General features: G+C 52.7%; 1 protein-coding gene and 1 pseudogene across 12 annotated transcripts, besides 12 other annotated features; both read left to right on the plus strand.

The window, feature by feature from the left end:
• The first annotated feature begins 337 nt into the window (after positions 1 to 337).
• Positions 338 to 21,064, plus strand: C17orf99 (chromosome 17 open reading frame 99). Of its 12 annotated transcripts, none has more exons than XM_047435058.1 (6): positions 356 to 907; positions 1,646 to 1,678; positions 15,722 to 16,021; positions 18,862 to 19,131; positions 19,333 to 19,429; positions 20,656 to 21,064. In XM_047435058.1, exons 1-6 carry the CDS (start codon positions 742 to 744, stop codon positions 20,660 to 20,662), a joined length of 873 nt encoding a protein of 290 aa, XP_047291014.1. In that variant the 5' UTR covers positions 356 to 741; the 3' UTR covers positions 20,663 to 21,064. The 12 variants fall into 12 exon arrangements, with proteins under 12 accessions (XP_016879486.2, XP_047291017.1, XP_047291014.1 ...); XM_047435060.1 differs by lacking the exon at positions 356 to 907 and adding an exon at positions 1,152 to 1,211; XM_047435061.1 differs by lacking the exon at positions 19,333 to 19,429 and having other exon boundaries at positions 349 to 907; positions 18,900 to 19,131.
• Positions 2,175 to 2,394: an enhancer, noted in NCBI's record as "active region_12867". NCBI's record gives its function as "activates an Ori minimal core promoter by ATAC-STARR-seq in GM12878 lymphoblastoid cells {active_cell/tissue: GM12878}" and the evidence as "EXISTENCE:reporter gene assay evidence [ECO:0000049][PMID:35858748]".
• Positions 3,609 to 4,108: an enhancer, noted in NCBI's record as "H3K4me1 hESC enhancer chr17:76144923-76145422 (GRCh37/hg19 assembly coordinates)". NCBI's record gives its function as "activates a minimal SCP1, AML or CMV promoter by ChIP-STARR-seq in naive H9 embryonic stem cells {active_cell/tissue: H9 hESC(naive)}" and the evidence as "EXISTENCE:reporter gene assay evidence [ECO:0000049][PMID:30033119]".
• Positions 6,521 to 7,098: an enhancer, noted in NCBI's record as "H3K27ac-H3K4me1 hESC enhancer chr17:76147835-76148412 (GRCh37/hg19 assembly coordinates)". NCBI's record gives its function as "activates a minimal SCP1, AML or CMV promoter by ChIP-STARR-seq in naive H9 embryonic stem cells {active_cell/tissue: H9 hESC(naive)}" and the evidence as "EXISTENCE:reporter gene assay evidence [ECO:0000049][PMID:30033119]".
• Positions 7,099 to 7,675: an enhancer, noted in NCBI's record as "H3K27ac-H3K4me1 hESC enhancer chr17:76148413-76148989 (GRCh37/hg19 assembly coordinates)". NCBI's record gives its function as "activates a minimal SCP1, AML or CMV promoter by ChIP-STARR-seq in naive H9 embryonic stem cells {active_cell/tissue: H9 hESC(naive)}" and the evidence as "EXISTENCE:reporter gene assay evidence [ECO:0000049][PMID:30033119]".
• Positions 9,132 to 9,201: a silencer, noted in NCBI's record as "silent region_9047". NCBI's record gives its function as "represses an Ori minimal core promoter by ATAC-STARR-seq in GM12878 lymphoblastoid cells {active_cell/tissue: GM12878}" and the evidence as "EXISTENCE:reporter gene assay evidence [ECO:0000049][PMID:35858748]".
• Positions 10,022 to 10,401: an enhancer, noted in NCBI's record as "active region_12868". NCBI's record gives its function as "activates an Ori minimal core promoter by ATAC-STARR-seq in GM12878 lymphoblastoid cells {active_cell/tissue: GM12878}" and the evidence as "EXISTENCE:reporter gene assay evidence [ECO:0000049][PMID:35858748]".
• Positions 12,126 to 13,902, plus strand: EIF5AP2 (eukaryotic translation initiation factor 5A pseudogene 2; annotated as a pseudogene).
• Positions 12,691 to 13,192: an enhancer, noted in NCBI's record as "H3K4me1 hESC enhancer chr17:76154005-76154506 (GRCh37/hg19 assembly coordinates)". NCBI's record gives its function as "activates a minimal SCP1, AML or CMV promoter by ChIP-STARR-seq in naive H9 embryonic stem cells {active_cell/tissue: H9 hESC(naive)}" and the evidence as "EXISTENCE:reporter gene assay evidence [ECO:0000049][PMID:30033119]".
• Positions 13,537 to 13,636: an enhancer, noted in NCBI's record as "active region_12869". NCBI's record gives its function as "activates an Ori minimal core promoter by ATAC-STARR-seq in GM12878 lymphoblastoid cells {active_cell/tissue: GM12878}" and the evidence as "EXISTENCE:reporter gene assay evidence [ECO:0000049][PMID:35858748]".
• Positions 14,677 to 14,836: an enhancer, noted in NCBI's record as "active region_12870". NCBI's record gives its function as "activates an Ori minimal core promoter by ATAC-STARR-seq in GM12878 lymphoblastoid cells {active_cell/tissue: GM12878}" and the evidence as "EXISTENCE:reporter gene assay evidence [ECO:0000049][PMID:35858748]".
• Positions 15,057 to 15,106: a silencer, noted in NCBI's record as "silent region_9048". NCBI's record gives its function as "represses an Ori minimal core promoter by ATAC-STARR-seq in GM12878 lymphoblastoid cells {active_cell/tissue: GM12878}" and the evidence as "EXISTENCE:reporter gene assay evidence [ECO:0000049][PMID:35858748]".
• Positions 15,147 to 15,196: a silencer, noted in NCBI's record as "silent region_9049". NCBI's record gives its function as "represses an Ori minimal core promoter by ATAC-STARR-seq in GM12878 lymphoblastoid cells {active_cell/tissue: GM12878}" and the evidence as "EXISTENCE:reporter gene assay evidence [ECO:0000049][PMID:35858748]".
• Positions 18,828 to 19,328: an enhancer, noted in NCBI's record as "H3K4me1 hESC enhancer chr17:76160142-76160642 (GRCh37/hg19 assembly coordinates)". NCBI's record gives its function as "activates a minimal SCP1, AML or CMV promoter by ChIP-STARR-seq in naive H9 embryonic stem cells {active_cell/tissue: H9 hESC(naive)}" and the evidence as "EXISTENCE:reporter gene assay evidence [ECO:0000049][PMID:30033119]".
• Positions 21,065 to 22,030: the final 966 nt, after the last annotated feature.

The raw sequence follows: 22,030 nt of genomic DNA on the forward strand, positions 1-22,030 counted from the left end.
TCTGTGTTCCGGGGAATGCCTGGCCCCAGCCCTGGCCTCGGGGCTCTGGGAGGCCCTGCTCACCCCCACCCTCCCTGCATGTGCAGGAGGCTCTGTGGCTGAACTCTGCACACACACTGCCTGCGATGCAGCTGGGTCTGCTGCTGGCCAAGGCCAGCACTGGGGCCAGTTCCCTGGGGAATGACCATCCATGTGACCTCCCACCACCCTCAGTGGGGCCTGAGGGACTTCTGAAGGGCGGTGCTTGGGCACACCACGCTCCGGGACCCAGGACTCCAGGACCCATCACACTCCAGGACCAGGGGCCTCGTCGGTCTGGGGTTTCATTCTGGGGCTGGGTGCAGCCTTGGCCTCCCGGCTGTGAACCATCATGGGTGGGGCTGCCTTTTCTCAGCCCAGCAGGTCCCCAGCTGCTTGGAAAGGCCCCAGTGATTACATGAGGGTCACCTGGGTCATGTAGGACGGGCTCCTCCTCTCAAAATGAGAAGACTCACAGCCTTCATTCCCCTTGCCGCGTAGCATGGTGCTCACGGGCTCCAGAAGTTACAGCGTGGACATCTTTTTTTTTTTTTTTTTTTTTGAGATGGAATCTCACTCTGTTGCCCAGGCTGGAGTGCAGTAGCGTGATCTTGGCTCACTGCAACCTCCGCCTCCTGGGTTCAAGCAATTCTCCTGCCTCAGTCTCCCGAGTAGCTGGGATTACAGGCGCACGCCACCACGCCCGGCTGATTTTTAGTAGAGATGGAGTTTCGCCATGTTGGCCAGGCTGGTCTCGAACTCCTGACCTCAGGTGATCCGCCCATCCAGGCCTCCCAAAGTGCTGGGATTACAGGTGTGAGCCACTGTGCCCCGCGGAGCATGGACACCTTCTGCCCACCACGTGAGCCCGGGATCCTGCGGCTCAGAGGTGACTGCTGAGTCTAAGCCCTGGTCTGGCTTCAAGGTCCAAACTCCTTCCACTTCTCTGGGGATTGAGGGGGAGTTTGCTGTACCGGGCCTGCCGGGGCTCTCTGGGCCCCGCCCTGGTAGCTGAGGCCCTGGGGTGCTGCGGCCTCCAGGTTATCTCCCCACTGCAGGCACCCACCCAGGGAGCATCCCAGGGGCCTCAGGGTGGGGGAGGCCAGGAACTAGGAGGTTCTCACTGCCCGAGCAGAGGCCCTACACCCACCGAGGCATGGGGCTCCCTGGGCTGTTCTGCTTGGCCGTGCTGGGTGAGTCCACCAGGGACGTGATGGTGGGGCTGCTGCTGGGGCCTTGAGGTCTTGGGCTCAGGTGGGGGTACTGGGAGCACAGGAGAGATGAGGCCTGAAGGAAGGGCACCTCTGGAAACATGGACAGAGAGGGAAAGATCTGGGCTTGAGTCTCGGACCAGCCCCTAAACTTGCTGTATATGTGGTCCAGGGATTTCTGCACCATTCTGGGCTCACTACTTACCCATCTGCGAAATGGGCGGATGAGAGGCGATGTTGTGGGGGGAGGGGCGCAAAAGAGCTTTTGTGAGTGATGGTGCCAGCTGAGTCCTGGGGCCTCACTACCAAGAATCAGCCTGCTCCTCCCTCCTGGCTTCAGCAGGTGGGTCTCGAGGCTGTCTCTGGTCTCCCCTCCACACCAGGCCCTCTCCTTATCGCCCTTACCTCTCTTACAGCTGCCAGCAGCTTCTCCAAGGCACGGGAGGAAGGTAAGTGGCATAGCCTGCTGCAGGGAGAAGTCCCCCAGCTGGGACCCTGGTGTCAGAACCCCCATGGTGGAGGGCGCCTCGGCTGGGAAGGGAGTTACTAGTGGGGAGGTGTGTGCTGGAGGATGGCTGGACAGTTCTGGAACACTCTCTTCACCCTGCAGGGCCCTAGGAGTGATGGAGATGGGCAGGCCAAGCAGGCCAGTGTGGGGACCTCCGGGGCACACAGGCAGGGAAGTTGCTCAGCTTCCAGCCTTTGGCTGGGCTGTTTGGAGGGAAGATTCCCTGGGCAGGTGCATCCTCATCACTCTGCCCCAGGTCCCTGATCGGGAGCAGAAGCCCCCCCTGAGACCCTCACAGCTCTGCCCGGTGGGCGAGGCCCCGTGGAGGGCTGGGGAATTCTGGTGGGGCCTGGGAGGTTGGGATTCTCTGACCAGGAGGAGGGCCGTGAGAGGATGGTGAAGTTAAGGCTCCCCCAGGGGCCTGACATACACGAGGCTGCCTTCCTTATAGAGGCAGGTGGGGAGTGGAGAGTGTCTGGGACCCAGCTGGGTACAGGACCAGGGAGGAGGGGACGCTGGGGAAGGTCCCTGACAGCCCCTAGCCTGGCCTGCTTCCTCATCTTTGCCTGCTCCATCTTTCTGCCTGCACTTTCTTGCCCCATCCTTCCCTCCCCTCCCCTCATGTCCATTAAGGTGAGGATGGACAGTCACCTCCCTATATTGTCCCAACTAACCCTTGCCCCTTGTTGCTAGGCCATCAGGTTACAGAGCAGGGCCTTCCCCCTCTATTTTGCTAAAGGGCAGGTACAGGGTAATGATGACGCCATTCTCACTTGAATGAGGCCCAGGTTGAACCATTATTTCCTCATTTGCTTTAAAAACGGATACATTGTTGGTGTGGCTGCTAAAAAGAGAGCAGGCAGCTGGGGCTCCGGGAAGTACCTGTGCAGGGCAGTTCCGCCTCCCCCTCTTGGCTGGCTCCCGACTTCTCTGATTCTTGCCAACCAAGTCCTGCTAACTAAACTCCTAAGAGACTGACTGATAAATCATTTATTCATTCAACAAATACTTGAGCACCTGTTTGGTTGCAGGCACAATTCCAGGCCCTGAGAATGTGGCAAGGCACTGAAACAAACCCCTCCTGTATCTTACATTCTAGTGGGGGTTGGGGGGACAGATGATAATAAAAATAAGAACATTCAGTGGCTTATGCCTGTTATCCCGCACTTTGGGAGGCTGTAGCCAAAGGATCAGTTGAGCCCAGGAGTTCAAGACCAGCCTGACCGACACAGTGAGACCCCCATCTCTTAAAAAAAAAAAAAGAAAATGGCTCGATCTCAGCTTACTGCAACCTCTGCCTCCTGGGGTCAAGGGATTCTTCCACCCAGCCTCCTGAGTAGCTGAGATTACAGATATGCACCACCATGCCCAGCTGATTTTTTTGTATAAAGAAAATATTTTTTTAAATTAGCTGGGCATGGTGGGCGGTGCACCTGTTGTCCCAGCTACTCGGGAGGCTGAGGTGGGAGGATTGCTTGTCCGGGAAGTGAGGCTGCAGTGAACCGTAATCATTAACAGTGCACTTCAGCCTGGGTGGCAGAGCAAAAAAAGCACATTCTAAGGTATGTTAGTTAGAATGTTCTAGAGAAAAGCAAGCAGGGTAGAAGGAAAGGGAACACCAGGTAGGTAGGGGAAGGAGGGCAGCATTTGCAGGGGAGGGTGGAGTTTGGGAAGGGGCCGTGCAGCAAGGACCCGAAGGAGCCGACCGAGCAGGAAGTACCTGGGCAGGGACCCTGTGTGGCCAGAACACAGGAAGCAAGGGGCAAAGGGTATTGAATGAGGTCAGAGGCATGGTGTGGGGTTGGCCGGGGAGGGCCCTGTGGGGCGCAGCCATAGGAGGTTTGGAGGGGAAAACGCAATCTGATTTACCCTTGGCCGAGGTCATTTGGACACTGTGTGGATGGAGATCAAAGGCAAAATCCAAGAGAGCCATTAGGCTACTCGGGATCCAGAGGAGAGACTGGGCAATGCGGGAGAGGCAGGGAGATGGGGTGGACATACATTCTGGAGGCCAGCAGCAGCTGCTGGCAGATGGCATGGGATGGGATGGGATGAGGACAGCCATGAAAGATGGCGCCAAGCCGGGCGCAGCTGCTCACGCCTGGAATCCCAGCACTTTGGGAGGCCGAGGCAGGCAGATCACCTGAGGTCAGGAGTTTGAGACCAGCCTGACCAATATGGTGAAACCCAGTCTCTAATGAAAATACAAAAATTAGCCGGGCGTGGTGGCGCACGTCTGTAATCCCAGCTACTCGGGAGGCTGAGGTGGGAGAATCCCTTGAACCCGGCAGGCGGAGGTTGCAGTGAACCAAGATCGCACCACTGCACTCCAGCCTGGGCAACAGAGAGAGACTCTGCCTCAAAAAAAAAAAAAAAAAAAAAAAAAAAAAAGGCGCCAGTCCTTGGCCCATCTGGAAGGACTGGCTAAATAAAGTGCAGCCTGGAGATGGCATATTATGCAGCTGAAACAGCTTCAGTGGGAGTGGAAAGCTGGGTACACGTGAAGGACCTGAGGGATCAGGATATTCGAAAGATGATCTCTGCGTAGGTTGGCTTTTTGTTTTGTTCCATTTTGCTTTTAGACACAGGGTCTCGTTCTGTCACCAAGGCTAAAGTGCAGTGGCACAATCACCGCTCACTGCAGCCTTAACCGCCAGGGCTTAATCAATCCTCCTGCCCCAGCCTCCCAAGTACCTGGGACTACAGGCACACGCCATCACACCCAGCTAATATTTAATTTAATTTTTTTTTTTTTTTGAGACGGGGTCTCGCTCTGTCGCCCAGGCTGGAGTGCAGTGGTGCAATCTCGGCTCACTGCAACCTCCACCTCCCAGGTTCAAGGGATTCTCCTGCCTCAGCCTCCTCAGTAGCTGGGACTACAGGCACATGCCACCACGCCCAGCTAATTTTTTGTACTTTTACTAGAGATGGGGTTTCACCATGTTAGCCAGGATGGTGTTGATCGCTTGACCTCGTGATCTGCCCACCTTGGCCTCCCAAAGTGCTGGGATTACAGGCGAGAGCCACCACGCCCGGAAGCTAATTTTTTTTTTTTTGAGACAGGGTCTTGCCATGTTGCCCAGGTTGGAATGCAGTGGCACAAACTCGGCTCACTGCAACCTCCATCTCCCAGGCTCAAGCCATCATCCCGCCTCAGCCTCCAGAGTAACTGGGACTATAGGCATGCACCACCATGCCCAGCTAATTTTTGTATTTTTTGTAGAGACAGGGTTTTGCTGTGTTTGCCAGGCTCGTCTCAGACTCAAGCTCAAGTGATCTGCCCGCCTCAGCCTCCCAAAGTGCTGGGATTACAGGCATGAGCCACCCTGCCTGGCCTAATATTTCAAATTTTTTTGTAGCAATTGGGTCTTCCTATTTTGCCCAGCTGGTCTTGAACTCCTGGCCTCAAGCAATCCTCCCTCTTTAGCCTCCCGAAGTGCGGGGGTTACAGGTATGAGCCACTGTGCCAGTGTGTTTTGAAATCCCCAAGAATTCTGGCAAGTATAGCATTAAGCATGGTAGGAACCATGGACAGGCATCTTCAAGGAGGGATAGGTGTTGGTAGATAATTGTAACCCAGAAGACAGAGTGGAATGTATCTGAAGACATAACTGCTGTTTAGCAAGGAGAGGGGAGAAAAGTTTAGGGAAGGGGAAATGTCAAGAAGGTGTTGTCCCCCTTTGTCCTAGCCCCATGACATGAAGGCTGCCGGGATCCACATCGCCTGGGACACCTGAAGGGGTAGACAGGGCTCTGGGAAGGAGGGATCTGGTTTCCATTAGATGTAGAGGATGGAGGGTGTTGGTTGGAAGGTTGAGGATACAGGGGATTTTGATTCCGGCTGAGCCTACACTCCAAACGGCACAGAGGAGGCCGGACACAGTGGCTCACGTCTGTAATCGAGCACTTTGGGAGGCCGAGGTAGGCGGATCACTTGAGGTCAGGAGTTTAAGACCAGCCTGGCCAACATGGTGAAACCCCATTTCTATTAAAAATACAAACATTAGCCAGGCTTGGTGGCAGGCGCCTGTAATCCCAGCTACTCAGGAGGCTGAGGCAGGAGAATCGCTTGAACCCGGGAGGCGGAGGTTGCAGTGAGCCTGGATGGCACCACTGCACTGCAGCCTGGGCGACAGAGTGAGACTCTGTCTCACAAAAACAAAAACAAACAAGGCCAGGCACAATGGCTCAGGCCCATAATCCCAGCACTTTGGGAGGCCGAGGTGGGCGGATCACCTAAGGTCAGATGTTCCAGACCAGCCTGGCCAACATGCGGAAACCCTGTCTCTACTAAAAATGCAACAATCAGCCAGGTATGGTGGTGTGTGCCTGTAATCCCAGCTACTCAGGAGGCTGAAGCACAAGAATCGCTTGAAACCAGAGGCGGAGGTTGCAGTGAGCCGAGATCGTGCCACTGCACTCCAGCCTGAGCGACAGAGCAAGACTCTGTCTCAAAAAAAAAAAAAAAAAAAAAAAGCAAAAGACAAAAGACAACCAAAAAACAACACCAACAAGGAAGGAAACACATTCTCTGACAGTGCTGGAAGCTGCATTCCAAGACTCAGAGTCTGCAGGGCTGGGTCCTCCCAAGGCCCCGCGGGAGCACCTGCTCCTGGCTCCTGTCCTGGTTTCTGGGGGTTGCCTCCCTCATGCCATTCTCCCGGTGTGTGTCTGAGTCTCCTTTCCTCTTCTCCTCAGGCCCCACCCTAATCCAGCATGAATTACTGGAGTTAATATTTAACATGAGAGAGGGGGAGCCATCTGTAAAAACCTGATTTCCAAATATGTTCCCATGGGCAGGTCCTGGGAGTCACCATTGGAACCTATCTTTTTGGAGGACATAATTCAACCCTTAACGGACGGCGGCTTATTCAAAGTCAGATCTCAGAGCCCCTCCCTAGGTCTAATGAGTTGCAACCTCCAGGGTTGGGACTGGAATTTCTAAGCTTCCTGTTGTCACAGAGACCAGTCTGGAGAGGGGTAGCACAATCTGGAAGGGCCTTGGAGTCACTCAGAGCACCAGCACCATGTCCGGGCCTGGACATGAGCCCTCCACAGTTTCCCTGCAGTGACCCCGTGCCCAGCCTGGGCTTGGCTTAGCTTCCTGTCCCGAGGGCAGCCCTGTCGTCACTTTATCAAATTTTGAGTGTGCCATCCCATTATTTAAATGCTCTTGCAGAGCAGATGAATTTTATTTATTTATTTATTTATTTACTTACTTATTTTGAGACAGGGTCTCGCTCTGTCACCCAGGCTGGAGTGCAGTGGCGCGATTACAGCTCACTAAAGCCTCAACCTCCTGGGCTCAAACATCCTCCCATGTCAGCCTCCTGAGTAGCTGGTGCATACCACCATGCCTGCTTAATTTTTTTTTTTTTTTTTGAGACAGGGTCTCACTTTGTCACCCAGGCTGGAGTGCAGTGGTGCAATCTTGGCTCGCTGCAGCCTCCACCTTCCAGGTTCAAGAGATCCTCCCACCTCAACCTGCTGAGTAGCTGGGATTACAGGCACATGCCACCATGCCCAGCTAATTTTTGTATTTTTAGTAGAGATGGGGTTTTGCCATGTTGGCCCGGCTGGTCTCGAACTTCTGAGTTCAAGTGATTCACCCACCTTGACCTCCCAAAGTGTTAGGATTATAGGCATGAGCCACTGCACCCAGCCAATTTTTTTTTTTTTTTTCTTAGAGACAGGATCTTGCTTTTTTGCCCAGGCTGGTCTCAAACTCCTGGGCTCAAGGGATCCCCCTGCCTAGGCCTCCAAAAGCTCTGGGATTATAGGAGTGAGCCACCACACCCAGACAAGCAGAAGAATTTTGAATTAAATGATAGGCCAGGCGGGTGGCTCACGCCTATAATCCCAGCACTTTGGAAGGCTGAGGTGGGTGGATCACTTGAGGTCAGGAGTTGTAGACCAGCCTGGCCAACATGGTGAAACCCCATCTCTATTAAAAATACAAAAATTAGCCAAGCATGGTGGCATGCACCTGTAATACCAGCTACTCAGGAGGGTGAGGCGGAGAATCACTTGAAACAGGGAGGCAGAGGTTGCAGTGAATTGAGATCGTGCCGCTGCACTCAGGCCTGGGAGACAAAGCAAGAGCCTGTCTCAAAGAAAAAAATAAATTAAAAAAAAAATGATAGACCATCCTTTATTGGCAGGCTGATCCATAAACTAAATAATCAAAAGGAAAAAACCACACAAGTCTTGAGAGGATATAAAGTGAGTGTGCGGCCGGGGACGGTGGCTCACCCTGTAATCCCGGCACTCTGGGAGGCCGACGGGGGTGGATCTCCTGAGCTCAGGTGTTCAAGACCAGCCTGGCCAACATGGAGAAACCCCAGCTCTACTAAAAATACAAAAAATTAGCCGGGCGTGGTGGTGCATGCCTGTAATCCCAGCTACTCGGGAGGCTGAGGCAGGAGAATCACTTGAACCCAGGAGGCGGAGGTTGCAGTGAACCAAGATCGTGTCACTGCAGTCCAGCCTGGGCGACAGAGCAAGACTCCGTCTCAAAAAAAGAAAAAAAAAAGTGAATGTCCCTGGTACAGTGTACTTTCAAAATGGTTCCTGTCTGTGAATTTATGCAAATCAAGCTTCTATTAATGAAGACTGAAATGGAAATGAAGAGAGAGAAGTTTTTCTTTCCATTTTTGTAAGTCAAGATCGTTTCCCTTCGCAAAGGGAACAAAAAGAAAGGGTGATCGCGTGTCAGCCCTGGACGCCCACTTCCCCACGTGAGGCAGGCTTCTGGCCCCTGCGATAGTTTCTGGACCATGAAGAGAAGGCCTCTTGGCCCTGAGGGTCAAATTGACTAAAGAATCAGCAGAGGCATCTGCAAGAGGATGCCCCAGAGGGTGCCTTCACCTCCAGATACACCTTCACTTTCTTCAAATCGAAGATTTTTCCATGAAAGCCTGTTTAGGGAAAAAAAAAAAGTATTCCTTCTTTTTTTTTTTTTTTTTTTTTTTTTGAGACACAGTCTCACTCTGTCACCCAGGCTGGAGTACAGCAGCACAATCTCCGCTCACTGCAGCCTCCACCTCTCAGGTTCAAGTGATTCTCATGCCTCAGCCTCCCGAGTAGCTGGGACTACAGGCTCGAGCCACCACACCGGGCTAATTTGTGTATTTTTAATAGAGACAGGGTTTCACCATGTTGCCCAGGCTGGCTTTGAACTCCTGGCCTCAAACGATTCACCCTCTCAGCCTCCCAAAGTGCTGGAATGACAGGCGTGAGCCACTGTGCCAGGCCTGAAAAAAAAAAGTATTCTTCCCCATCTAAAAAGGAGAGTCTGGCTGGGTGCAGTGGCTCATGCCTGTAATCCCAGCACTTTGGGAGGCCAAGGTGGGTGGATCACCTGAGGTCAGGAGTTCGAAACCAGTCTGGCCAACTTGGTAAAACCCCATCTCTACCAAAAATACAAAATTAGACAGGCGTGGTGGCATGTGTCTGTAATCCCAGCTACTCGGGCAGCTGAGGCAGGAGAATCGCTTGAACCCGGGAGGCAGAGGTTGCAGTGAGCCAAGATTACACCACTGCCCTGAGGCCTGGGTGACAGGGTAAGACTTCGTCTCAAAAAAATAAATAGGTGGGGCGCAGTGGCTCACACCTGTAATCCCAGCACTTTGGGGGGCTGAGGCAGGTGGATCACCTGAGGTTGGGCGTTTGAGACCAGCCTAACCAACATGGAGAAACCCTGTCTCTACTAAAAATACAAAATTAGCCAGGCATGGTGACGCATGCCTGTAATCCCAGCTACTCAGGAGGCTAAGGCAGAAGAATTGCTTGAACCTGGGAAGCGGAGGTTGTGGTGAGACGAGATCACGACATTGCACTCCAGCCTGGGTAACAGAGTGAGACTCCATCTCAAAAATAAATAAATAAATAAATAAATATAAAAAGGAGAGTTATCATGAAATTTTCAAAGGGGCACAGATGAGAAAATAATTGTTGGTGTCTGTGCAGCCCTGGGCAGGGGAAGACATCCTGATTCTAGAAGGCTGCTGCCGGTTGTCTAGACCAGAGTTGTCAACCTCAGCACTCCTGACATTTGAGGCCAGACCATTCTTCGCGGTGGGGGCTGACTGTGCACTGTAGGATGCTTTGCGACATCCTTGGCCTCTACCCACTAAATGTCAGCAGCAACCCCTATTTTTTTTTTTTTTTTTTTGTGGAGATGGGGTCTTGCTGTGTTGCCCAAGCTAGTCCATCTCCCAATATTGACAACCAAAAATGTCCCCAGACCCAAAGTTCCCCTGGAGGCAAAATTGCTCCTGGTTGAGAGTTACTGGTCTAGAATGAAACATGCTTAGTGGTCACACACTCTAGTCTATTCCAGTTCTCTGCTCAATCAGCAGTTTCCTCATTGCAGGGTGGTTTCCAGAGCAGACATGCCCAGCCGAGCAAAGGCAATTCATGACGTCGATGATATTCAGATTTCACAGACCCTTCTTTCTACCCCTCCCCCAAGCACTGCCCCACCACACAGTATTCTTTTTTTCTTTTTAATTTTTCTTTCGATTAAATAGAGGTGGGGTCTCACTATGTTGCCTAGGCTGGTCTGGAACCCCTGGGCTTAAGCAATCCTCCCGCCTTGGCCTCCCAAAGTGCTGGTATTACGGGCCTGAGCTACTGTGCCCACCTGATACACACTATTCTTTTTCTTTTTTTTGAGACGGAGTCTTGCTCTGTCACCCATGCTAGAGTACAATGGCAGGATATTGGCTCACTGTAACCTCTGTCTCCTGGGTTCAAGTGATTCTCTGGCCTCAGTCTTCTGAGTAGCTGGGATTACAGGCATGTACCACCATGCCCAGATAATTTTTGTATTTTTAGTAGAGACGGGGTTTCTTCATGTTGGCCAGGCTGGTCTTGAACTCCTGACCTCAGGTGATCCACCTGCCTCGGCCTCACAGTGCTGGGAATACAGATGTGAGCCACCATGCCCGGCCTACACACTATTGTTGAAATGCAAACAGGTCCCCGCCATTGGTATAATACAACCCTCTCCCTCAAACCCCTATTCCAGAAACATTTTTGTTTAATCCCAATTGCTGTCTTAAAGAATCAGTAATGGCCAGGCACAGTGGCTCACACCTGTAATCCCAGCACTTTGGGAGGCCCAGGCAGGCGGATCACCTGAGGTCAAGAGTTCGAGACCAGCCTGGCCAATGTGGCGAAACCCAGTCTCTACTAAAAATACAAAAATTAGCTGGGTGTGGTTGTGGGCACCTGTAGTCCCAGCTACTTGGGAGGCTGAGGCAGGAGAATCACTTGAACCCGGGAGGCGGAGGTTGTAGTGAGCCAAGATTGCACCACTGCACTCCAGCCTGGGTGACAGAGCAAAACTCCTTCTCCAGAAAAAAAAAAAAAAAAAAAAAAGAATCAGCAAAGACAGCATCAGGCCCACTAGGAAGATCTCAGAGATGTTTTCCACAATGAAATTGACTCCAGGATTTGCTTCCAAAACAGAGAAGTCACTCGCAAGCAGAAAGCAGATACCTGGCGTAGGTGGGTGAAGGCCTGCTGGAATGCGCTGACGGGCTGGTTTTGATCTGGGTCTAGGGAGAAGAGCACTTTGGGTGCCGTGAGCAGGCTGGTCTCCTGCAGGAGCCTCGCATTCTTCAAAAGTCCTTTTAATTAATTAATTTTTTTAGAAACAGGGTCTCACTCTTTCACCCAGTCTGGAGTGCAGTGGCACGATCATAGCTCACTGTAGCTTCAGTCTCCCAAGCTCAAGTAAGTGATCCTCTCCCCTCAACCTCTGGAGTAGCTGGGACCGCAGGCGAGCACCACCACACCTGGCTAATTTTGTTTATTTATTTATTTTTAGAGTAGTTCTCACTGTGTTGTTGAAGCTGATCTCCGAGGCTCAAGCAATCCGTCCACCTCAGCCTCCCAAAGTGCTGGGATTCCAGGCGCAGTGGCCACCGTGCCTGGACACATTTTGTTTATATAGAAAAATATTCTGGAAAGAAACAGCCTAAACCCAGGAGGTAGCCCTTTTTCTAATATTTTCTTTTTTTAGAGGTGAAATTCACATAACAAAAAGTCAACCATTTAAAAGTGATAATTGGCCGTGCACGGTGGCTCACGCTTGTAATGCCAGTACTTTGGGAGGCCGAGGTGGGTGGATGACTTGAGGCCAGGAGTTCAAGACCAGCCTAACCAACATAGTGAAACTCCGTCTCTACTAAAAATACAAAACTTAGGCCGGGCACGGTGGCTCACACCTGTAATCCCAGCACTTTGGGAGGCCGAGGCGGGCGCATCATGAGGTCTGGAGTTCAAGAGCAGCCTGGCCAACACGGTGAAAACCCATCTCAGGTGCCTGCGTACTAAGACCTGTGTTCAGCAGCGGCGGCGGCGGCGGCGGTGGGCTCGGAGGCTCACAGCCAGTGGACAGGGTTGAGTCAGTGAGTTCGTGCGAGTTGGAATCGAAGCCTCTTAAAATGGCAGATGATTTGGACTTCGAGACAGGAGATGCAGGGCCTCAGCGACCTTCCCAATGCAGTCCTCAGCATTGTGTAAAAATGACTTTGTAGGCCGGGCGCGGTGGCTCACGCCCGTAATCCCATCACTTTGGAAGACCGAGGCAGGCGGATCACAAGGTCAGGAGATCGAAACCATCCTGGCTAAAATGGTGAAACCCCGTCTCTACTAAAAATACAAAAATTAGCCGGGCGTGGTGGCGGGCGCCTGTAGTCCCAGCTACTCTGGAGGCTGAGGCAGGAGAATGGCGTAAACCCGGGAGGCAGAGCTTGCGGTGAGCCGAGATTGTGCCACTGCACTCCAGCCTGGGCGACAGAGCGTGACTCTGTCTCGGAAAAAAAAAAAAAAAAAAAAAAAAAAGAATGGCTTTGTGGTACTCAAAGGCCGGCCACGTAAGATCGTCGAGATGTCTACTTCGATGACTGGCAAGCACGGCCATGCCAAGGTCCACCTGGTTGGTACTGACATCTTTACTGGGAAGAAATATGGAGATATCTGCCTGTCAACTCATAACATGGATGTCCCCAGCATCAAAAGGAATGACTTCCAGCTGATTGGCATCCAGGATGGGCACCTATCACTGCTCCAGGACAGCATGGAGGTGCGAGAGGACTTTCGTCTGCATGAGGGAGACCTTGGCAAAGAGACTGAGCAGAAGTACAGCTGTGGAGAAGAGATCCTGATCATGGTGCTGTCTGCCATGACCGAGGAGGCAGCTGCTGCAATCAAGGCTCCCAGGGTGGCGGTGGTGGCAGCAGTGATCCTCCCAAGAGGCCCCCTCCCCCAGGCTGGCTTGGCTCTGCCCTGGTCCTAGGCTGCTGGACTCCTCCTACACATTTTTTTTTTTTGAGATGGATTCTCGCCCTGTCGCCCAGGCTGGAGTGCAGTGGCACCATCTCGGCTCACTACAAGCTCCACCTCCCGGGCTCATGCCATTCTCCTGCCTCAGCCTCCCGAGTAGCTGGGACTACGGGCACCCACTGCCACGCCCGGCTAATTTTTTGTATTTTTTAGTAGAGACGGGGTTTCACCGTGTTAGCCAGGATGGTCTCGATCTCCTGACCTCGTGATCCACCCGCCTTGGCCTCCCAAAGTGCTGGGATTACAGGCGTGAGCCACCGCGCCCGGCCTCCTCCTACACAATTTATTTGATGTTTTATTTTGGTTTTTTGCATCACCTCAATCTGTTGGGGGAGCCCCTGCCCTTCACCTAGCTCCCTTGGCCAGGAGCAAGCGAAGCCGTGGCTTTGGGGAAGCTGCCCTCCTCTTCCCCCTCACACTACAGCCCTGCTCGGGGAGAAGGGGGTGGGTGCTGCTTGTGGTTTAGTTTTTGTTTGTTTGTTTTTGTTTTTTAATTCAATCTGGAATCAGAAAGCAGTGGATTCTGGCAAATGGTCCTTGTGCCCTCCCCACTCATCCCTGGTCTGGTCCCCTGTTACCCATAGCCCTGAGCACCACCCCAAAAGACTGGGGACCAGCCCCGTCCCCTGCCTGTGTCTCTCCCCAAACCCCTTCAGATGGGGAGGGAAGAGGAGGAGAGGGGAGGGGACCTGCCCCCTCCTCAGGCATCTGGGAGAGCCCTGCCCCCACGGGCTTTACCCTTCCCTGCAGGCTCTCTCCCCGACACATTTGTTAAAATCAAACCTGAATAAAACTACAAGTTTAATATGATTTAAAAAAAAAAGGAAAAGAAAAAACCCCGTCTCTACTAAAAATACAAAAATTAGCTGGGCATGGTGGTGCATGCCTGGAGTCCCCACTACATGGTAGGCTGAGACAGGAGAATCGCTTGAACCCAGGAGGTGGAGGTTGCAGTGAGCTGAGATCGTGCTACTGCACTCCATTCTGGACGACAGAGCAAGACTCTGTCTTTAAATAAATAAATAAAAGTGGGCCGGGCGCAGTGGCTCACATCTGTAATCCCAGCACTTTGGGAGGCTGAGGTGGCCAGACCACCTGAGGTCTCGAGTTCAAGACCAGTCTGGCCAACATGATGAAACCCCATGTCTACTAAAAATACAAAAATTAGCCAGGCGTAGTGGTGGGTGCCTGTAATCCCAGCTACTCTGGAGGCTGAGGCACGAGAATCTCTTGAACACGGGAGGCGACAGTGCAAGACTCTGTCTCAAAAAAAAAAAAAAGTGATAATTCAGCAGCATTTAGTGCATCCATAGTGTTGCTCAACCACCACCGCTATCTAGTTCCGAGAGATTTTCATCACCCCAAAAGGAAACCCCGTATCTATTAGGCAGTTACTCCCCATTTCCCCCTCCCCTGGGCCCCAGTAACCACCAATCTGCTTTCTGTCTCTGTGGGTTCTCCTGTTCTGAACTTTGCACACACATGGAATCATGCAACCGTTGCCCTTTGCGTCTGCCTTTTTGTTTAGTGGAATGTTGTTACGGCTCATCCCTGTTGCAGCCTGCATCTGTGCTCATTTCTTTCTAAGGCTGAGTAATATTCCTTATATGGATCAACCACATTCTATTTACCCATTCGTCCATTGATAGATATTTGGGCCGTTTCCACCATTTGGCTGTGGTGAATCACGCTGCCATGAGCGTGTGTGTACAGGTATCTGTTTGAGTCCCTGTTTTCTATTATTTGGTGTATGTCTAGGCCTGGAATTGTTGAGTCATATGGTAAGTCTGTTTAACTTTTTGAGGAACCACTAAATCAGTATTTTCTTTCTTTCTTTTTTCTTTACTCTGAGGTCTACTGGTTTCACTTATTTATTTGTAATTTTTAGGTTCAGGGGTACATGTGCAGGTTTGTTATAGAAGTAAATTGCAGCCGGGCGCGGTGGCTCACGCCTGTAATCCCAGCACTTTGGGAGGCCAAGGCGGGTGGATCACGAGGTCAGGAGTTTGAGACCAGCCTGACCAACATGGTGAAACCCTGTCTCTACTAAAAATACAAAAATTAGCCAGGCGTGGTGGCACGCGCCTGCAGTCCCAGCTATTCGGGAGGCTGAAGCAGGAGAATCACTTGAACTCAGGAGGCGAAGGTTGTGGTGAGCAGAGATCGCGCCACTGCACTCCAGCCTGGGTGACAGAGCAAGACTCCATCTAAAAAAAAAAAAAAGAGAGAGAGAGAGAGAACATGCTAAACCCAGCATCCTTTTTCTTTTTTTCCTGAGTCTCCCTCTGTCGCCCAGGCTGGAGTGCAGTGGTGTGATCTCGGCTCACTGCCACCTGCCACCTCCGCCTTCCTGGTTCAAGAGATTCTCCTGCCTTAGCTTCCCGAGTAGCAGGGATTACAGGTGGGCACCACCACGCCCGGCTAATTTTTGTATTTTAGTAGAGACAGACTTTCACCATGTTGGCTACACTGGTTTTGAACTCCTGACCTCAAGTGATCCGTCCACCTGGACCTCCCAAACACTGGGATTACAGGTGTTTGCCACCGAGCCTGGCCAAACCAGTACCTTCTTAAGGTGCTTGATCAATGTCGGTTTCTTTCTTCCTCCTTGGACCTTTTCATCTCCCAGAAATTACCCCTGTGGTCTCCATTGCCTACAAAGTCCTGGAAGTTTTCCCCAAAGGCCGCTGGGTGCTCATAACCTGCTGTGCACCCCAGCCACCACCGCCCATCACCTATTCCCTCTGTGGAACCAAGAACATCAAGGTGGCCAAGAAGGTGGTGAAGACCCACGAGCCGGCCTCCTTCAACCTCAACGTCACACTCAAGTCCAGTCCAGACCTGCTCACCTACTTCTGCTGGGCGTCCTCCACCTCAGGTGCCCATGTGGACAGTGCCAGGCTACAGATGCACTGGGAGCTGTGGTCCAGTGAGTGCGGTGGGGGGCACAGGGCTGAGGAGGCAGGTGGGGTGCAGATCAATGGGGAGCTCTGGGAGTGGGGATTGTGAACCTTGCTGGGGTTAGAGAGAGCCAGGGTGTGAGGGTGTGGACAAGGACAGGCTGCCACCTCCAAGGCCATTCTCAGTCCCTTGGGGCCTTTAATCAGGACTTGCTGTCCCTGGCTGGGGCCCTGAGGGCACAGTCTCCTGGCAGGGGCCTGAGGGCACAGAGGGAAAGAGCCCGATGGTGGCAGAAATGACTGGGCCCCAGTTGTCAGCTCGGACCTCAAGGTGATAAACTAGGCACGTTTGTCTGGGCGCAAATCCCAGCACTGTGGGAGGCCGAGACAGGCTGATCGCTTGAGCCCAGGAGTTCGATACCAGCCTGGGCAACATGGCGAAACCCTGTTCCTACTAAAATTACAAAGATTAGCTGGGCGTGGCGGGGTGCACCTGTAGTTCCAGCTACTCAGGAGGCTGAGGCAGGAGAATCGCTTGAACCCGGGAGGCAGAGGTTGCAGTGAGCCAAGATTGCGCCACTGTACTCCAGCCTGGGTAACAGAGCGTCTCCAAAAAAAAAAAAAAGAAAAAGAAACGAAAAAAAAGTTAGGCACGTTTTGTGCATTACTTCGCTTGATCTTCACAGCAGTGTCAGGGGTGGGGTCTGAGCCTCTGGGTCTATAGCTATGTAAGCTAAAACTCTGGGGAGTTAAGAAAGTTGCCCCAGGGGCTGGGTGTGGTGGCTCACGCCTATAAGCCCAGCATTTTGGGAGGCCCAGGCGGGAGGATCACTTGAGCTCAGGAGTTTGAGACCAGTCTGGCCAACGTAGTGAAACCCCATCTCTACTAAAAATACAAAAATTAGCTGGGTGTGGTGGTGGGCACCTATAATCCCAGCTACTGGGGAGGCTGAGGCAAGAGAGTCACTTGAACCCAGGAGATGAAGGTTGCAGTGAGCCAAGGTCGTGCTGCTGCATGCCAGCCTGGGTGACAGCGTAAGACTATCTCAAAAAAAAAAAAAAAAAAAAGTCGCCCCAGGCCACATGGCTGGCAAGTGGCCAAGGCTGCTTTCAAACCCCACTCTGTCCAGCTCCAAACCCTGCCTTCTTCCTGTTTCCATCCTGATAGTAACTCAGGTAACCTTCTTGGTGGGAGCTATGGGGTATGGGAACCAGGAAGTGTTGCCCGACTTAGGGTGGGACAAGGAATCGCCCCATTCATCCTTTGGCCCGCACCCTAAGAACACCAGGAAAAGACAGCCTAGGGGAGATGAGCCCAGGATCTGCAGCCCAACGGGTCCAAGGTTCAAATCCCTACACTTACTGGCTGGGGTCTTGAACAACTCATTGGACCGCTGAGCTTCAACTGCTTTATCTGCAAAAGGAAAATAATAACAGAGGCCAGTGAGGTGGCTCACACCTGTATTCCCAGCATTTTGGGAGGCCAAGGTGGGAGAATCCTTTGAAGCCAAGAGTTTGAGACCAGCCTGGACCACAGAGTGATACTCTGTGTCTGCAAAAAAATTATTTTCTTTTTTTGAGATGGAGTCTTGCTCTGTCGCCCAGGCTGAACTGCAGTGGCACGATCTCGGCTCACCGCAACCTCCGCCTCCCAGATTCAAGCGATTCTCCTGCCTCAGCCTCCCGAGTAGCTGGGACTACAGGCCCTTGCCCCCATGCCGGCTAATTTTTGTATTTTTAGTAGACACGGGGTTTCACCATGTTGGCCAGGCTGGTCTCAAACTCCTGACCTCAAGTGATCCACCTACCTAGGCCTCCTAAAGTGCTGGGATTATAGGCGTGAGCCACTGCACCCAGCCAATAGCAATTTTTTAAAAAATTAATCAGGTATGGTGGTGCATGCCTGTCGTCCCAGCTACTTGGGTGGCTGAGGTGGGAGGATCATTTGAGCCCAGGAGTTGGAGGCTGCAGTGAGCGGTGATCACACCATTGCACTCTAGCCTGGGCAACAGAGACCCTGTCTCTAAAATAATAATAGGTCCTACTTCAGGGGACCTATTAAATGAAAGCCTTTTAGTAGGTGGCAAGTGTGGTGGTGATTACTCATCAGTAAGAATGTCTAGAGCATTAGGCTCAAGGCCTGGGGGATTCTAGAATCTTCTACATGACAGTTTTTGTCCTGAAGTAGCTTGCCTTTCAGTAAAAAAGACGAGACTGAATGATAGAGTTGCCAGATAAATTTTACATAGGACATACGTATAGTAAAAGATTATTCATTGTTTATCTGAAATGAAAATTTAACTGTATTTTTATTTGCTAAGTCTGGCAATCTGAAATACGCTACACAAGAATAAAACCAGGCCGGGCACGGTGGCTCACGCCTAAAATCCCAGCACTTTGGGAGGCTGAGGCAGAAGATTGCTTGAGCCCAGGAGTTTGAGACCAGCCTGGCCAACATGGTGAAACCCCATCTCTGCAAAAAATACAAAAATTAGCTGGATGTGGTGGTGCACACCTGTAGTCCTAGCTACTCGGGAGGCTGAGATGGGAGAATTGCTCGAGCTGGGGAGGCGGAGGTTGCAGTGAGCCTAGATCGCGCCATTGCACTCCAGCCTGGGCGACAGAGCAAGACCCTGTCTCAAAATAAAGTAAGAATAAGATAAAAACCAAATGTGAAATTGTGTGGTACACACGGCAGGTAGGGCAGCAGCCCAGACACAAGGTGGAGGGCAAACTCTAGAAGGCGGCCTGGAGGAGGCGGCAGCCACAGCTAAGCTCATTAGGCATTTTGTAATGAGGAGAACTTACTGAGGAGGAGGGGTTTAAAACCGCTCAGCCATGCCTGTGCTACCTTCTCCCACCCTGCCAGAGCCAGTGTCTGAGCTGCGGGCCAACTTCACTCTGCAGGACAGAGGGGCAGGCCCCAGGGTGGAGATGATCTGCCAGGCGTCCTCGGGCAGCCCACCTATCACCAACAGCCTGATCGGGAAGGATGGGCAGGTCCACCTGCAGCAGAGACCATGCCACAGGCAGCCTGCCAACTTCTCCTTCCTGCCGAGCCAGACATCGGACTGGTTCTGGTGCCAGGCTGCAAACAACGCCAATGTCCAGCACAGCGCCCTCACAGTGGTGCCCCCAGGTGAGAGGGCCCTTGGATTTCCAGAGGGGCAGCTGGCGCTTCTGTGCCGGGAGGGTGCTAGTGTCCAAGACACAGGTCGATGGGAAGTGGGACAGCTCTACCCGGCCACTGCTGAGAGCAGAGAGGGCACAGGAGGCAACCATGCCCACCCTGGCCCCTGCCTAAAGGAAGCCCAACCCAGCTGCCTCCGCCCCCTCCCAGGAGGGTTGCCCAGGGCACCCACCATCGTGCTGGTTGGCAGCCTTGCCTCCACTGCGGCCATCACCTCCAGGATGCTGGGCTGGACCACGTGGGCCAGGTAGGAAATGGGTGCTCGATGCAGGGAGGAGGGAGAGCTGCTGATGGCCTGAGAGGTCCAACCGGGCCCTGGCTGCAGAGCTCAGGTGGTGGGGCTTGCAGGGCAGGGCTGTGGCCAGGGCAAAGAGCGGCCATCACCGCTTACGCATGACTCGAAGGTGTTTATGAGGACCTACTGTGTGCCATGTGCCTACTGAGGCTTACACATTCAAGGCGTTATCGGACCCTGACCAGTGCTCCCAGGTGCCCTGTAACACAGTCTGCTGGCCTCTGGGAGGGCAGTCTCCTAAGTTCTTTATGGGGTCTGAGCAGGGATTGCAGGGATGATGCCTCCAGGAGACCAAGGTGGACCAGGAGCTCCTGCCTTCTGTGAGAACCACCTTGGGCAGTCTTTCCGAGGTGGTGGCAAGAGCCTGGGGCCCAGCCTCCCAGGGTCCCCTCTCCAAGGCCATGGCTTTACTAACATGTAAAGTGACCAAGGCCTTTGTAGTGTCTGAGTGCAGGCACCACAGGCCTGTGTGCTCTGCCTGTCTGGCTTTGGTGGTGGCCAGCCCTGCCTCTGTGAACTCATCTCTCTTTGTTTGGGAGACACTGCCGTGTCCTGGTTCTCATCCTCTGCCCGTGGCCCAGGCCCTTACGTGGCTCTACCAGGAGTCTGTCCTTGGCACTTTCCCATCTCACTTCTACCAAGTCTGTTCTTTCCAGAAGCCAGACTCGTGGGTGAGCCATGTCACCTCGCCGAGCCTCAGTTTTTCCTTCTGTAAAATGGGGTACAGCCTTCATTTAGTGGGGTGAGTAAGCCTCATGTCTCTTCTGCTGGGGCACTGATGTGCTTGGCACCATAAAACTCCCAGAGGCAGGCCGGGCACAGTGGCTCATGCCTGGAATCTCAGCACTTTGGGAGGCTGAGGCAGGCGAATCACCTGAGGTCAGGAGTTCGAGACCAGCCTGGCCAACATGAAGAAACCCCGTCTCTACTAAAAATACAAAATTAGCCGGGCGTGGTGGTGCGCACCTGTAGTCCCAGCTACTCGGGAGACTGAGGCAGGAGAATCACTTGAACCCAGGAGGTGGAGGTTGCAGTGAGCCGAGATCGTGCCATTGCACTCCAGCCTGGACAAAAAGAGCAAAACTCCGTCTCAAAACAAACGAACACTCTCAGACGCCTCGGGAGGGGATGGCTGGGAGGTGAGCCTGCCTGACTTGAGTCTCCACTGCTTTGTCAAGGTGGTGACCAGAAGATGGAGGACTGGCAGGGTCCCCTGGAGAGCCCCATCCTTGCCTTGCCGCTCTACAGGAGCACCCGCCGTCTGAGTGAAGAGGAGTTTGGGGGGTTCAGGATAGGGAATGGGGAGGTCAGAGGACGCAAAGCAGCAGCCATGTAGAATGAACCGTCCAGAGAGCCAAGCACGGCAGAGGACTGCAGGCCATCAGCGTGCACTGTTCGTATTTGGAGTTCATGCAAAATGAGTGTGTTTTAGCTGCTCTTGCCACAAAAAAAAAAAAAAAAAAAAAAGGGTAACTATGAGAGATGGTGGATATGTTAACTTGCTTCGCTATAGGAACCTTTGTGCTATCTATATTATCTATATGAATCCCATCATATCAGGTTGTCTACCTTAAATATACACAAAAACATTTATTTAAAAAAAAGAAAAAAGCCTGCCAGCTGGGATTCTTGGAGTGCTGGTGGCCTTCAGCAAACACAGACACTGTTGGTGTGAGGGCTTCAGGAGGGTCACAGAAATAAGGGGGTCTGTGTGGCCCTGTCCTCGCCTCTCAGGTGCTGTCACATCTCTCTGGGTGTAGGGAGAGGGAGGGGGGCACACTGCGAAAAGGCCCAGCCCCTCCCCCCCACCTGCTCCCCTCTTCCCTGGAGAGGCACCCCACCTCCTGGTGGCCCAGTCCTATGGTTCAACTCTCACGTGGTCCAGCTCACCTGGGTTGACTGTGAGCCCCACCTGGCACACCTGCTGTTGTTAATCTGCACCTGCAACTAGCAAAGGGGGGTCTGGAATTCTTCCGGGTTCAGTCAGCCTGTGATCCCACACCTCTGTCTGTACAACCTCCGCTCCCCACTCCAACACACACAGAGCCTGCCCCAGCCTACCCTGCACCAGACCCTCTGTACCGGTTTTTCTTGGGATGGAGGTAGAGAGGGACGGAGGCGAGAGGGGGCTGAACTGGAACTGGATTAAACTTTGCCATCTGCCTGTCGCCCTGAAAACTTCATTTCTGTTTGCATGCCATATATATATTTTTTTATATGTGGTCTTTTCTTTTTTTTTTTTTTTGAGATGGAGTCTCGCTCTGTCGCAATGGTGCAATCTCGGCTCACTGCAACCTCCGCCTCCCGGGTTCAAGCGATTCTCCTGCCTCAGCCTGCCAAGTAGCTGGGACTACAGGCACGCGCCACCATGCCCAGCTAATTTTTGTATTTTTAGTGGAGACGGGGTTTCACCATGTTGGCCAGGGTGTTCTCGATCTCCTGACCTCGTGATCCGCCTGCTTCAGCCTCCCAAAGTGCTGGAATTACAGGCGTGAGCCACCACGCCCGGCCGATATGTGGTCTTACTCTGTCACCCAGGCTGGGGTGCAAAGG

Source organism: Homo sapiens, chromosome 17, assembly GCF_000001405.40.
Source record: "Homo sapiens chromosome 17, GRCh38.p14 Primary Assembly".
Classification (NCBI taxonomy): Eukaryota; Metazoa; Chordata; class Mammalia; order Primates; family Hominidae; genus Homo; species Homo sapiens.